Genomic DNA, 14187 nt, shown 5'->3' with positions numbered 1-14187 from the left:
TCACCTGTGTGTGCTGGCAGAGAAAGAACCATCCCAAGCACCATCCTTCCCAGTCTTTTCCGTGGAGCTCCCCAGCAACCCCAGCCTTCTCCCACCACCTCCTTCTCTCCACCTCTCTGACCTTAGGCTCTTCTGTCAAATTGACATGAAAAAGCTCACCTCAAGGGCTGTTGCAGACTAACAGATGGGAGAGCGCCCTAAAACTCGGTAAAAGCAATGGATTGTTTCAGACCTTCAGTTTCCATGACAGCATTAGCTGAATATCTAATACATGCCACATTATTGCCCCAGACCCCACAGAGACCCTGTAAGAGAGGCATCTCATGGGTGAGGAAACGGAGGCTCAGAGAGAGGAAGGGATCTATCCAAGGCCACACAAGTTGTTATTTGGGACTGGAACTCAGTCCCTGCTTCCAGTCCAGGGGGCCCCTCTCCCAAACACCACACCGTTCCAGCCTGGCAGCCCTGCCATCCTGGATGGGAAGAGAGAGGACCAGGGTAGGAAGGGTGGGGGCCAGGGGGTTAAGAGATTCCCCCATGCCTCTTCCCCCCAGCCTCAAATCATAGGGAACGAATCTCCAGGAAGCCCAGCGGGTGGCCGGGTCCCAGCGCTGATTGCAGGAGATGGCAGGAGGGCCCGGCGGTTGCCATGGCGACTTCCTGAATCGCAGCGCCTGTTCCCGCTGAGGCTTTAGGAAGTCAGACATACCTGGGCAGCCCCTGCCCCCGACTGGGCCTCTCCGAGGAGCAGGAGCACGCAAGGGAATGCGGCGTGCCTGCTCACAGAGAATGTGCACACACGTGTGAGAGCTGTGGCAGTGGCAGGCGTGTAGCTGCAGCATGCACACAGGTCTAGGACATGGAGACCCACATGTGTGGGCGCAAACCTGCCCGACAGTGCGAGGAGCCTTTAAGGGTGAGAACAAGCCTACTGACATAGGAATGTGAGAAGGGTGTTCTTGGCAGAGGGAAAGGCAGGCTGGTGCTAGAGAGCATGCCGGGAGCTGCTGGCAGGAAGATGAGGTTGGCAGGGCCAGATCATGGGGATGCTCTGCATACCGGGCTGAGAAGTTTGGACCTTCACCTGGAGGCACTGGGGAGCCAGTGAGGGCTTTGAAGCAGGGAAGTAGCATGGTTGGACCTGAGATCCCTCCAGCAGCCCACGGAGGATGGGTCAGAGGTCAGCCTAGAAGCAGGAGGTCAGTGTGGTGCTGATCTTCCCTACCCAGCTCTATTCTGTTTCCCCATTAGCATTTACACCTTCTAACACATACCATATACTTGTCTTCAGTTTCTTGTTTATTCTCTGTTTTCCTCACTGGGATGCCAGCTCATGAGAGCTGAGGGGTTTGCCTGCCTCGTTCACTGAAGCATATCAGGGACCAACAAGAGTGCCTGGTACACCGGGGCTCAGTAGATACCTGCTGAATGAATGGATGAGGCCTGGACTAGAGGAGTGGCCTAAGGGAAGGAGAGAAGTGCTAGGGGAGAGTGAGGTGTGGAAGGCGAATTGACTGGTTGGGGTAAAGTGGAAGTGGTGGACACACGGCTGAGCCCCCAGGGACTTCTGAGTTGGTGGCTGTGGCCCTATGCAGGTGCCTTTCTGGCTCAGGAATGAGACCATGGGGTGATTCCAGGATCCAAGAGAAAAGCATAAAGGATGGCCTGGCCAGGTCTCAGGAGGTGCGGAGGGATGGGGCAGGACCAGGCCAGATGCAGAACTGGGGGCAGGATAGGGGAAACTGAGGCAGATGCCCCATCCTGTGCACTAGATCTGAGTGCACTGGGAGAGACTGGAACTCAGTCCCTGCTTCCAGTCCAGGGGATCCCTCTCCCAAACACCACACTGCTCCAGCCTGGCAGCCCTGCCATCTGGATGGGAAGAGAGAGGACCAGGATAGGAAAGGCGGAGGGTGGGGGGCTGGGGTCTGTAGTGTGTTCCAGACCTCTGCTGTCTAATAGAAATGTAGCACAGGCCACAGAGGCATGCCACGTGTCATTTTACATTTTCTAGTAACACATTACAAAAGTAGACAGAGATGGGTGAAGTGAGTTTTAACTACATATTTTACTGAACCTCGTATGTCCACAATATTATTTCAACCTGTTATCAATATAAAAATTAAATAAGATATTTTACATTCCTTTTTTAGGGGGTACAATGTCTTCAAAAACTGTTGTGTATCCTACACTTACAGCACACCTCAGTTTGGACTTGCCACATGTCATGTGCTCAGTAGCCACATGCGCCAGTGGCTGCTGCATGGGACAAGGCAGCCCTGGGCCCTGGGTCCCACCCACCAGGAATGAGGCACTGGGAGGGGCTGAGTCTGCAGAGGGGCCTCCAGGGTACCAGCTGATTGAGGTTGAAGTTGGGGAGAAGGCAACCACATGGGCGATGGAAGGCCTTTTTCCTCTGCTTTCTCTTTTGTCAGTTCACTCACTCACTCACTCAACAGACTTTTAATGAACACTTACTATGTGCAGGGCGCTATGCTAGGTGCTAGTGCATTGGCGTGGAGTAGTAGTTCTTATTAGGATACTATTCCTCTCTCATAGATGAGAAAGCTTAGGCTCAGAGAAGTTCTGACTTTCTGGAGGTCACGTAGCTGGTAACCCTCTGAGCTCTTTCTCCTGCTCCATGTTGCATAGATAACTGAGATATAAGTAAAGCCTCCAAGAGGGAGGAGGTTGGGGATGAGGTAAGATCTACAGAGGGATGTCCCCAAGGAAACTCATGTCTCTAGGTCTCTACACCTCCTTAGAGACCTGGTTCCTCCCCCTCCCACTCAGTTTTCTCTCCGCTTGAGCTTTGATGCTCCCCGGGGGCCTCAGAACCAAGACTTCCTAAGGAACTTGAATTTAGACCATCTTCTTCCTAGATGACAGTCCAGCAACCCTGCAGGAGGTGGAGTGACTGGTTACACTGCTGACCTGGCAGCTCTGGAGGCTGGACTCGGAGCAGCCCAGGTGTCCCCAACTGGAAGGCCCATCCCCACCAAGGCAGCAGAAGAATGGGAGCAGAAACAGGAGTACTTGAAAGAGTGGATTCAAGTCCTGACTCTTTTTCTTCCCAGTTGAGGAAGAACCTTGGGGAAGAGGCTTTGACCCTCTGGGGTCAGTTCTGTCTCCATTACATGGGCGGAGTAACCTACCTCCCAGGATGAGGGCCCTGAAAGCAAGTGGTCCATTAAGGAAAGGTCAAATAGGGCTTGGAAAGGGACTGTTTTTCAAGAATGACAAACTCGTGTGAGTTTCGCTTAGAAACCCTGACTCGGCTGCCTCCAGCAGGTGGGGGCCTGGCAAGGGTTCCTCATGCGTGAAAGCTCTGGAACGTTTCTGGGGTCTAGGGTCTGGGTTTAAGTCTGGCCTGCAGGTGGGAGGGTCTCTGTGCCTTCCTTTCCTTCATCCTATTGTTTACTAAGCACCAAGTACCGACTGGGTGCCCAGTGAGTTAAATAGCTCTTCTTTCCAGATGAGGAAACTGAGGCACAGAGAAGTCTGGTGACTTGCCTGAGGTCAACCAGCCAGAAAGTGGCAGAGCTGGGTTTTAAACCTCGGTCTCCTCGTCCAAAGCCATTGCCTCTGGCCTCTGCCCAGCACTTGGAGATGCCAATGGGCTGTTCACCAGGAGTCACTCATGGCAACTGCCTCACAGATGGCCTGGGTCCCTCACAGGCAGGGGTCAGCTGTGCATCATGCATTGGGACACGCAGGAGCAGGGAGGCTGCCGGGCCGGGGAGGCTGCAGGGCCAGGCGCGGCCGGATTCACAGGTTGAAGACTGTTCCTCTGGGCTTCCGGACTCCGTGCCTTCCCCCACAGCCCCTTCCCGGGCCGCCTCCCTTCCTGGCCCGGTGCTGGGGGTGACTAGCGGGTGGGGTGGCATCCGGGCTGGGGCTAGAACTGTGAAGAGGGTGTCTGGGTAGAGACTGATGGCCTGTCAGTTGGCTGCCAGCACATCCTCAAATTCTTTGTCTCTGTGTGGAGTGGGGACTGTGGAGGGGGCAGGGGTTGGGCACAGCAGAGGAGGAGGATGCCGGGGTGGGGGCAGGAGAGGGGCATGGCGGGTTGCGGGAGGCCTCCGTGGTCTGCTGGTGCTTACGCTTGTCGGCGGTGTGTGTCTTCGGGAAGTCAGGTCCTTGCCCCCTGCTTTGGGGCCAGAGACAGGAGTTCAGATCCTAGCTCTGCTCCCCACTTGCTGGGGGTGGGGGGGTCCCAGGCCTGTATCGTTCCTGTTTCCAGTCCTAGGCCTCTGTTTCTTCATCCATGCAATGGGTCTATCCAGCTCTGACCTGCTGTGATCTCTGTAAATCTGAGCTGATTAGAACATTTGGCCCTGAAATTCCAGAGGCCTTTAGGCTTCCCTGATGGAGGGAGCATGGGGCTGAGTCTTGGTGCTGTCAGGGAGGCACTGAGGGGGCTGGGGGTGGGGTCAGAGAGGTGGGGAAGGTGAACCCTCCCCACTGCAAGGCCTGGCAGTAGGGCAAAACCAGGCTGCTTATCTCCCCAGCCTGGGCACCCTGGATGACTGTGCTGGGGACATGGGGCTGATGGAGGGGTCGCCAGGGAGGAGGCGGAGAAGACAGAGATGTCATCTGTCCTGAAAGACACAGCCCTTCAGGGCTTCCTGCCCTCTCTGCAGTTCTTGCCAGGTCACCTGGGCCCCAAAGACCCCACAGTTCTGTTCACCAGCCCCCTTCAGTCCTTGTCACCTGGCTACTGCTAGGCAGCCACACTCAGCTCCATGATCTCACCAGCAGCCAAGTAGCTGAACACACAGTCACAGCGCCCCCGCCCCCACACACACACATAGGCACAAAGCCTGTGGCACAGTCACACATGGGCTTGTAGAGTTATAGGTGCCCCCGCGTGCACAGCCCTCCTGGGAGCCAGCACGGGAGATCACGCATGCGTGCCCACCCCAGCGTGTGGGTGAGCCCAGGGCTGTGCCCAGCCCAGCTCTTAGAGAACCACTCTGAGGCCTCCCTAGACAGAGTCGCAGGAGCCGTCCTAGAGGGGTGGGGGTGGTGATGGGATGAGAAGCTCTCTGTGGGCCTCTGATCCCCTCCTTTAATAAAAGGAGCTAGAAGGCCCCCTCCTCAGCACCCCACCCCCCAGCCTCAGCACCCAAAGCATCCATTATTCCACCCGATGCCCCCTCTAGTTCTGCGGGGTGAGTGCGCTGAGCACATCTTACAGAGGGCAAACTGAGGCTGGGGAGGAGAAGGGGGGTTGCCCAAGGGCAGAGCTGGTGAGGTCAGAAGCAGAATTGCAAGCCGGGGCGGTGGGCCCCCAAACCTGTGTTCTCTCAGGCCGCCCACCCCCATCTGCCGGGCTGGGGTGTGGACCCCGAAGCGTGCCCCGGGCCCCCTCCACCCCAGCACCCAAGGGCCTCCCGGACACAAAGCCACCTGGCGGCGCTCGAGGGGGCGCGCGTGGGAGCGCGCACGGTGGCCCGCGCCTCCGGCCAAGATGTTCCCTCTCCGCGTGATTGACAGGCTCGAGTGCCGAGAAACAAAATTGTTTATGCGCTAATGAATAAGGCCCTGATTGCAAGATCCTGTTTGGAAAATTATAGTGCGGCGGCGGCGGCGGCGGCCGCGGCGGCCCAATTACAGCCCGCGCTGCATATTCATTTCGTCTCTCCTTTGCATCGAGATGAACGGGCGCCCCGCGCCCTGCAAAGGCAACGCCAAATTTAGTCCCAGGTTCCGCACTCCTCCGCGCCATTGTCTGCCCCGGACCACCTGCCTCCTGCCGGCCTGATTGCCCGGGAGGGCGCGAGCAGGGAGGCCAAGAAAGTTCTCCCTACCCCTCCTCCTGGCAACCCCTTCCCTCGGTTCTCTCCGCTCCCTCCTCCGACTCCCCGTCTCTGTCTCCCTTCCCCTCCCGGTGTCTCTTTCTCCCTCTGTTCTCTCTCTACTTATTCTGTGCCCCGCACTTCCTCTCCTCGCTCTAGGCCTCTATCTGGGTGCATCACCGGTCTAGAATGTCAGTCGCTGTCCCTCCCCCTCCAGCTTCACATTCCCTGCGTTCCTGGGTCCCTGGGTACAGCAGGGGCAGTAACGGGGACCGTCTGCTCCTTGGAGGTCACAGAGGTATGAGGCGGGTCTCAAGACCCCTGCCTTGGCTGTGAGCATGGGGTGGCTTGGCTCGTCCCCGCAACCAAGCTGCTGGGGAGAGAGGCCCCTCCCTGCCCGCTGCCTCTGCCGCCTCCCGCATGCCACCAGATCCACTTATCCTGCGGCTCAGGCCCCTTGGCTGCCCAGGCTGCGCCCTCACACCTCCCTGCCCTGCACATGCTGTTCTCTTGCTGGCACGCCCGTCCTGTCTTCCCAGACGCATCCCAAGTACAGCTCAGAGCAGCCTTCCCCTGTCCCCACCACCGCAGGCAACAGGACAGCTCCCTCCCAGAGCACGCTGGTGTCCAGGCATGTCCTGCAGGTACAGCAGCAGGCAGGGTACACTGGCGTCCTTCTCCCGGGCCTGACCAGCCTGGGGGCTGCCGGTGAGTCACCAGGAAGCTCTGGTGTCCAGCTCAAGGCTGATCAAACGGACACCTCCACTGTGATATGGGGGTATAGTCTCCCTGTCCTTGTTGTATGGTGATGGTGGGCAGGAGGGGAGAGGAGGCTGGGAGGGAGGGACTGGGGCTTTGCAGCACCTGGACGCCACAGACCAGGACTGGCCCTGGTTCCAGACAGTGACAAGGACAACTAACTGGTCCTTGTCACTGGGTCATTGACTTAACTGACAAGTACCTGAGGCCCAGTCTGGCTGGAGGCTCATGGTGGGGGTGATGGTGGCGAGGGCTCTTCAGAGGATGGCCGTGCTCCTCCCCGTCCTGCCTGGGGCCCCACTGAGTAACCAGGCATCTGCACCCCTTCCTGGGATGGAAATTGGGGTATTCAGACGTGAGCAAAAATGGACAACCACATATACCAACTGGCCTAGACAACCCCCAACCCTGCCGCCAGAGACACACAAAGTAATAGACTCCCACAGTCACATACACACAAACATAGACACGCAGCCTCTCCTTGAAAGACCCACGCAGCCTGAGACACAAAGGCAGGCTGGCCCCTGGGCGTGTGTGGGGCAGCACTGCCCTCTGGCGGCTGTCTTGGCAATCTCTCTGTCAGGCTCTGGCTAGCTTCCTAGAACCACAGCTGAGCCACGATGCGGGTGCCCAGGCCCAGACCCAGAGAACTGGGACTCCCAGGGATGGGATTTCAGGGAGGAAAAGGAATTTGTGTTCCTAGGGTCGAGGGTCTTTTGAGTTCCAGTTCCCTACCCCAATCTGCATGTAATGCAGAACATGTGAGCAGAACTTGCTCACAGAAGGACCAGTCCAGGGATGGTGAGGGGGCGGAGCTCCTTATCATGGGAGGAGTACGAGTTGGGCTGGGACCACTTGCAGATTGGTGGTCTTTAGTGGCAGAGTGGACAACTTCATAGGTCATCACCAGCTTGAAGAGCTCTGGGAGGTATGTCTAGTCTTCTCCTACTTCACCCCAGCCCAGCCACTCTCCTGTTTGGTTTGTTTGTCAGTCATCAAACTCTGACAGCATCTCAGCACCTCAAACAGCAGGGGAGATCCTGGGTGGCGGGAGATGAGGCTGTGGAGGGTGGCCAGGCCACCCCTTGGAGGTCTTCGAGGCCAGTATTAGGTGTGTGGGCTTTATTCTGGGGGACAGGGATCTGGAGACAGGCCCAGACAGGGAAGCGACTTGGTCAGATGGGCATGTGAGCACCAGCTAAGGAGAAGCTTAAGGAGCACCAGCTAAGAAGCGACTTGGTCAGATGGGCATGTGAGCACCAGCTAAGGAGGCAGGAGGGCCAGACGGGAGGGATGTGGTGGCCTGGACCAGGACAGGGGCAGGAGTGAGGTGGCAAGAACGACGCAGATCCCAGAGCTATTAAGGAGATGGACTCGCCAGGCTTTGGTGAGGAATTGGCCATGGTGGGCATGGAGCCGGAAGATGAAGTTACCTTGGGGCATATCAGTGCTGACAAAGGGGCCTGGGGGAGAGATGATGAGTCTGATGTGGCTCTGAGAGCCTGAGAGCCTGAGAGCCAAGGGGATGTCTGGAGAGGATGTCTGGAGAGGTATCAGCCTAGAGCCTGAGAGCCAAGGGGATGTCTGGAGAGGTATCCAGGAGGCAGTTGAAATCAGGCCTGGAGATATTCACTTGGGAGTTGGAAGGTTACTGACAGGTGGTTGAAGGCAGTGCACAGCTGAGGCCACCCAGGAAAGGTCCTTGGAAGCCCTAAGCACCAAAGATATGGTGTTCACCTCACCCCCATGAGTCAAAAAGGAGTCTAAATTAAATTATAAAATGTAACACTTACATGCCTTACAAAACTCTTGGACTGGCACGGTGGCTCACACCTGTAATCCCAGCATTTTGGGAGGCCAAGATGGGCAGATTACCTGAGGTCAAGAGTTCGAGACCAGCCTGGCCAACATGGTGAAACCCCGTCTGTACTAAAAATACAAAAAGTTAGCCGAGCATAGTGGCGCATGCCTGTAATTCTAGCTACTCGGGGGGCTGAGGCAGGAGAATTGCTTGAACCTGGGAGGGAGAGGTTGCAGTGAGCCGAGATCACACCACTACACTCCAGCCTGAGCAACAGAGTGAGACTCCATCTCAAAAAACAAAAATAAAAATAAAAACAAAAAACGTTTGCAATCATCACATCCATGGGTTCACAGAAACACATTTTCCTCCTCATCTTCCTTGTTTGATGCTCCTGGTCTGATGGTGCCCTGAGGTGTCTACCTGCTTGCCGGCTAGGTGGCCCAGCTCCAAATCCAGGCAAAAACAAGAGGCTCAGGGGGCACCAACAGGCTGGGACCGAGGGGAACAAGATGCCCACAAAAGAGAGAAGGAACACCCAGGAAGACTGGAGGAAACCCAGGAGAGTGTGGCATCACTGGGGCCAAGGAAGGAGGGGGTTCCAAGAAAGAGGACATGATTAGTCATGTAGAAAACAAGAGGAGGCACGGAGATGAGGACTGAAGAGGGGGCCCGGATATGGCTGTGGGGCTGCCAGGCAGGCTCAGTAAAGCAAAGCTGGTCACCTCTCCACGTATCTCTGCTCAAGGGGGCCAGCCTTTGGTGGGGACACTCGGGTGCCCTTTGCCCTTGAGGATCCTCCGGACCTACAAACAAGGAGGGAGTAAGACCCTGGGGTAGGGTTGAGGCGAGCTGACCTCAGAAGGAGAAAAGGAGACCAAATATTTCAGTGGACTCAAGGCAGGGGGCGCCTCTGGGTGGCAGTCCCTCCTCTGACCACAAGGGGGCAGCATAAAAGCAGGTCCTGCGTGGGCTCAGGCTTCTGTAAGGAGTCGGCTTCCAGATGCTGTTTTCATCTGTGATGCGTCCTTGGGCTCTCTGGGCCTCAGTTTCTTTCTCCGCAAAATGGGGCAGTTGGACATCATATTCTCTTGGACCCTGTTGGGATCCCCTTCATTCTGCATCCCCTTACCGCCTTCCCAGCTCAATGTGACACCCCCCATCTGACCACAATAAGTGTGTTAAGTGAGTAAGGTCAATGGCACAGGTATAGCATGTGGTGAGAACACAGAATGCTAGCCCGAGGAGGCCTACAGGCGTGTGCAAGGTTAGCTGAGTGAGGACAGACCATCCCATGAGCTTGGGTTAAACCTGCCTGCAGCGACCGTCTGTGAAGGTGGCCTCTGCTTCCTCTTACGGGGAGTACTGGGGTGGGGGTGGGGCTGCCTCTGCCTCTTCTGTCTGCCCCCAGGGCAGAGCTCTGGCTCTTTGTGCAGGCTCCTTGTCCTGCCACTGTTTGCCCTCTCTGGGACATGTCAGCACCTGTGCCCTCTTTGGGCCTCAGGGCTCATCGAGACAAGGAGGGAAAGAGCATGAGAGTCTCCTCAGCACTGCTGGTCCTCAGGTCTCTGAGGCAGCCCCACCCTATCCTGGGATGCCTCCCAGTGCTGCCCTGTGGGTCTGCAGTCCTTTGGTGCCAGTTGGTGGGAGGGGCAATGTGAGGGTCACGACAGTTGATTCCTGGCTCTGGGCCGCCATCAGATCTTCAGAGGGGCTGGTGTGCTGGTGGCTGCTGGTGGCCTCAGCTGGGGACAAGGAGTCAGGGTTGGAGCCTCATTCCATGTCTGACAAAGTGTGGCTTTAGTTGATCACTGCTGGTGGGTGGCAGGGAAGCTGAAGCCAGGGCAGGAGCAAGAGGTGGCCTGGGGAGACAGTACCTCTGTGGAGGGCCCCTTCCCCTCAGAAGCTGGGCCAGCCCAGGGCAGCCGAGGACAGTGACACAGGAGAACACCCACGGGCCAGTTGTCCGGTGCCAGCTCCCCGGCTGTGTGATCTTGGGCAAGTGGGCAACCCTCTCTGAGCTATGGTAGGGAGACCTATCCAGAATTCAGGAAAGCATGTTATAGGCCCAGGGCAGTCCTGGTATTGGGGCAAAGAAGGGCAGGCAACCCTGGGTCACCGACTTGTCCTAGGGGTCCAGTCCCCGGGATTTGGCCTCTTGGAGCCCACTGGGTGGGTGTCTAGGGGAAACTGAAGATGGATCTGACTCAGTTGGGTCCTGGTACCAGCATTTTGGCTTGGGAGTGGGAAAGGGTAATAAAGGACTCTACAGTCACAAGAGCTTGGCCGCTGCCTGGACAGGCAGCCTATGCAAGTCCCCTCCTATCTCTGAGCTGCCATTTCTTTATCTTTCTGAGTTCCACCTGGGGCAGGACCTTCAGCTTCCCAAGTCTCACCAGACCATCGCCTCCCGGGTGCCAGGCTGAGTTGGCTCTCAGGCCCTCTCTTTCCCAGGCGGGCCTCGGGTGGTGCCAGGTGCCGCAGGAGCTTCCGGTTGGTGCAGGGAGCTGGCTGGCGTGGGCTGTCTGAGGGCAACTGTCTCGGTGCTTAGCTGAGGCCTCATCGAGTGGCACCTGTGGCCCGGGCCAGCTGGGATGGGAAAGGGTGGTCTGGCCTCCACCTGCTCAGCTCACTTGCCCTCTAGCCACTCTCACTTGAGCCTCAGCCTCCTGTATCTGCTGCTGCTGCTGGAGCCCAAGGGGCTGGGGCCATGGCTGGGTGCCCCAAAGACAGGAGAGAAGGAGGTGCTGGGGCTTTGCGCCCTGGAGGGGACAGCTAGAGACTCATCAGGCAGGAAGTATCTCCTCTTCTTGATTCTGATCCTTCACCCACCTATGTCAGCCTCACACCTGTACCTGTACACCTGTGGGGCAGCCTTCCCCACCTGTGGTTTTCCCCACTTCTGGAGCCCTAGAAGAATATGTAGAGCAGGCTTGGGGTGTGGCCCCATGGAGCACCCCCAAACTGCCTCTGGTCCCCAGGCTCCGGCTTGTGCTGTCCCTTCCCGCTGTCTGGATTTTGGCCTGTCTGTGGGACCTTGAGGAGCCTGGAGCCTGGAGCTGCCAGCTCGTCTGGGCCCTCCAGGCTCCAGGATCTCTGGAGGCCATGGGTGGGGCTGGTGCTGGCCTTGTTGGTGTTGCTCCTGCTGGAGTAGTGGTGCCCTCTGGCATCTGTGCCTTCCACGGCAGGTCACTGGTGCCATTTGCCATGTGCAGTGGGTGCTGGAGTCTAAGCTCGTGGAAAACTTCCAAGGCCTGGGCTATGGTCCTCATGGCCGTGCGGCCTGCCTTGACACACACAGAAGGGACACATGCACTAGTGTGCGTTCAGGGGACACGTGAACACACCCCTCATATTCAGACAGGTGTAAACAGCTCAGCCACACAAGTGCTGAGCTCCAGCAGACTCACGCACGCAGCCACACATATAGACAAGGTACAGGTGTAGCCAGTGTGTGAACATTGATAAGTCTGTCAAGGCAGATATGTGCACAGTCCAGAACACAAGACGGGTAGAAAGGCAGACCTACAAATGTGCACAGATCCCTGCCAACAAACATGCATATCCATACATGCACATATGCATACACAAGCTGTCATGGGCACACTTACAGGGGAACATGCCTTACTCAGAGCACAGAGCATTTCTCCAGCCCTCCCTGCATCCACTGCAAATGGGGACACATGTCCTATCCCTCAGCAGGCAGGGAAGGGCTGGGGGAGGGAACTTCACCTTTTCTTAGACCCATGGCAATGGAAAGTGGGCACCATCTTGGGTGATGTAGCCAAATGTCTCCTGTTCTGGGAGTCTCGGCACACATAGAAGATTCTGGAGAGGAGGGGGAGGTGCAAGGCATGATCCACTTCAAGCAGCCACCAAGCCCAGTGGGAGCTGGGTCTCTGGGCTTAGCAAGACAAGAGCCCAGGGGCCGAGGCTGAGCTGAGGAGCCTCCAAACCTGTAGACAGGGTCATGCAGTACTAGGGGCGAGCCTCATCCCCTGCAGCCCTGGCCTCTGCAGGGACAAGGGAGAGGAGAGGGTACGTCTGCAGGAGGGATTGTGGATTCAGCCTCCCATGTAGGATATGAAGCGACTCAGGCTGGGAGCAATCAGAGATCCCTGGGTTTGTCATGGCGCTGGGGTCTCCTTAGGACATCAGAGCCAGCTGTTACCTGCAGGGAAACCATCCAGATATATTTAGATACACACATACTTAGCATTGCATTACAATTGCTGACAGTATTCAGCACAGTACCATGCTGTACAGGTTTATAGTGTAGGAGCAATAGGCTATGCCATGTGGCCTAGTTGTGCAGTAGGCTACACCATCTAGGTTCATGTAAGTTTGCCCACCAAAATTGCCCGGTGACACATTTCTCAGAATGTATCCCCATCTTTTTTTTTTTTTTTTTTTTGAGATGGAGTCTCACTCTGTCGTCCAGGCTGGAGTGCAGTGGCACGATCTCGGCTCACTGCAACCTCCGCCTCCCGGGTTCAAACAATTCTTCTGCCTCAGCTTCCTGAGCAGCTGGGATTACAATCACGTGCCACCACACCCAGCTAATTTTTGTATTTTTAGTAGAGATGGGGTTTCGCTATGTTGGCCAGGCTCATCTCGAACTACTGACCTCAGGTGATCCGCCCACCTCGGCCTTCCAAAGTGCTGGGATTACAGGCATGAGCCACTGTGCCCGGTCGTATCCCCATCATTAAGTAACGCATGACTGTGTTCATAAGGTTGTGCAACCGGTTCCACTATGGCGCTCCAGAACATTTTTGTGACCCCACAAGAAACCCTGTGGCCATGAGATGTCACTCCCCATTCCGTCAGCCTCTGCAACCACTAATTCACTGTTCGTCTCCATGGATTTTCGTATTCTGGGCATTTGGTAGGAATGGAATTAGACATTATGTGGCCTTCCGTGTCTGGCTTCTTTCACTTAGCATAATGTTTTCAGGGCCCTGTGCCTCTGGTTTATAAGTGAGGACACTGGCCCAGACAGAGGGAGTGACTGTCCAAAGTCACATAGCAGCCAGGAGTCAGGCCCCTACACAGTGTTGGCTTTTTTAGGACCTCAGCCTTGGTCCCTGGGGTTGTGGGCTGTGGACAATGGAAGAGGTCACACTTCATCTAAAGGGGCAGCTATTACTCAGCTCTGCCTGGGACAGAATCCAGGGGCAGCACTGCCTAATACTAAACACTGTAAATAATGATACAAACGGCCAGGCACGGTGGCTCAAGCCTGTAGTTCCAGCTACTTGGGAGGCTGAGGCAGGAGGATCACTTGAGCTCAGGAGGTCAAGGCTGCAGTGAGCCATGATTGTGCCACTGCACTCCAGTCTGGGTGACAGAGAAAGACCCTGTCTCAAAAAAAAAAAAAAAGTTACAAATAACACCAGCTAACATTTTGCATGCTTCTTTTGTGCCTGGTGCTGTTCTAAAGAAGTGCTGTATAGGCACTTTCTTATTTAATCTCCATGACAATCTTGGTGAAAGTGCTGTTATTATCCCCGTTATGCAGACGAAGGAAGCAGAGCACAGAGAGGTTAAGTAACTCAGCCAAGGACACACAGCAAGCTAGTGGCAGAGTTAGGATTGGAACCCAGGTAGTCTGACTCCAGAGCCCCTGCTCTTACCCACCTATACAGATGCATTCCTTCTTCCAGATTTGTAAAGGAAGGCAGTAATACAGATTTTAATGTGAAACCTCATAAGTTTAAATGTTTCCAAGTGTCGACAACTTATGACAATTGTTTTTTGACACCGTACAGGCTGCAGGGCCTAAGCCTGGAAAGTTTCGTTTAATACAAAGGGAGAGGGCCCTCA

The 14187-nt window shown here is 56.1% G+C and overlaps 1 non-coding gene across 1 annotated transcript, besides 4 other annotated features; it reads left to right on the top strand.

The window, feature by feature from the left end:
- Window positions 4247-5012: an enhancer, noted in NCBI's record as "H3K4me1 hESC enhancer chr9:124889722-124890487 (GRCh37/hg19 assembly coordinates)". NCBI's record gives its function as "activates a minimal SCP1, AML or CMV promoter by ChIP-STARR-seq in primed H9 embryonic stem cells {active_cell/tissue: H9 hESC(primed)}" and the evidence as "EXISTENCE:reporter gene assay evidence [ECO:0000049][PMID:30033119]".
- Window positions 5013-5779: an enhancer, noted in NCBI's record as "H3K4me1 hESC enhancer chr9:124888955-124889721 (GRCh37/hg19 assembly coordinates)". NCBI's record gives its function as "activates a minimal SCP1, AML or CMV promoter by ChIP-STARR-seq in naive and primed H9 embryonic stem cells {active_cell/tissue: H9 hESC(naive and primed)}" and the evidence as "EXISTENCE:reporter gene assay evidence [ECO:0000049][PMID:30033119]".
- Window positions 5780-6545: an enhancer, noted in NCBI's record as "H3K4me1 hESC enhancer chr9:124888189-124888954 (GRCh37/hg19 assembly coordinates)". NCBI's record gives its function as "activates a minimal SCP1, AML or CMV promoter by ChIP-STARR-seq in naive H9 embryonic stem cells {active_cell/tissue: H9 hESC(naive)}" and the evidence as "EXISTENCE:reporter gene assay evidence [ECO:0000049][PMID:30033119]".
- Window positions 6546-7312: an enhancer, noted in NCBI's record as "H3K4me1 hESC enhancer chr9:124887422-124888188 (GRCh37/hg19 assembly coordinates)". NCBI's record gives its function as "activates a minimal SCP1, AML or CMV promoter by ChIP-STARR-seq in naive H9 embryonic stem cells {active_cell/tissue: H9 hESC(naive)}" and the evidence as "EXISTENCE:reporter gene assay evidence [ECO:0000049][PMID:30033119]".
- On the top strand, window positions 12288-12373 carry MIR4478 (microRNA 4478). Its single transcript, NR_039690.1, has one exon. It is a non-coding gene; the product is annotated as a microRNA 4478 (primary transcript).
- Window positions 12374-14187: the final 1814 nt, after the last annotated feature.

The sequence above is a fragment of the Homo sapiens genome, chromosome 9 (assembly GCF_000001405.40).
Source record: "Homo sapiens chromosome 9, GRCh38.p14 Primary Assembly".
Taxonomy (NCBI): domain Eukaryota; kingdom Metazoa; phylum Chordata; class Mammalia; order Primates; family Hominidae; genus Homo; species Homo sapiens.
The sequence above is the reverse complement of the archived record's forward strand: the minus strand, read 5'-3'. Positions and strand labels throughout refer to the sequence as shown.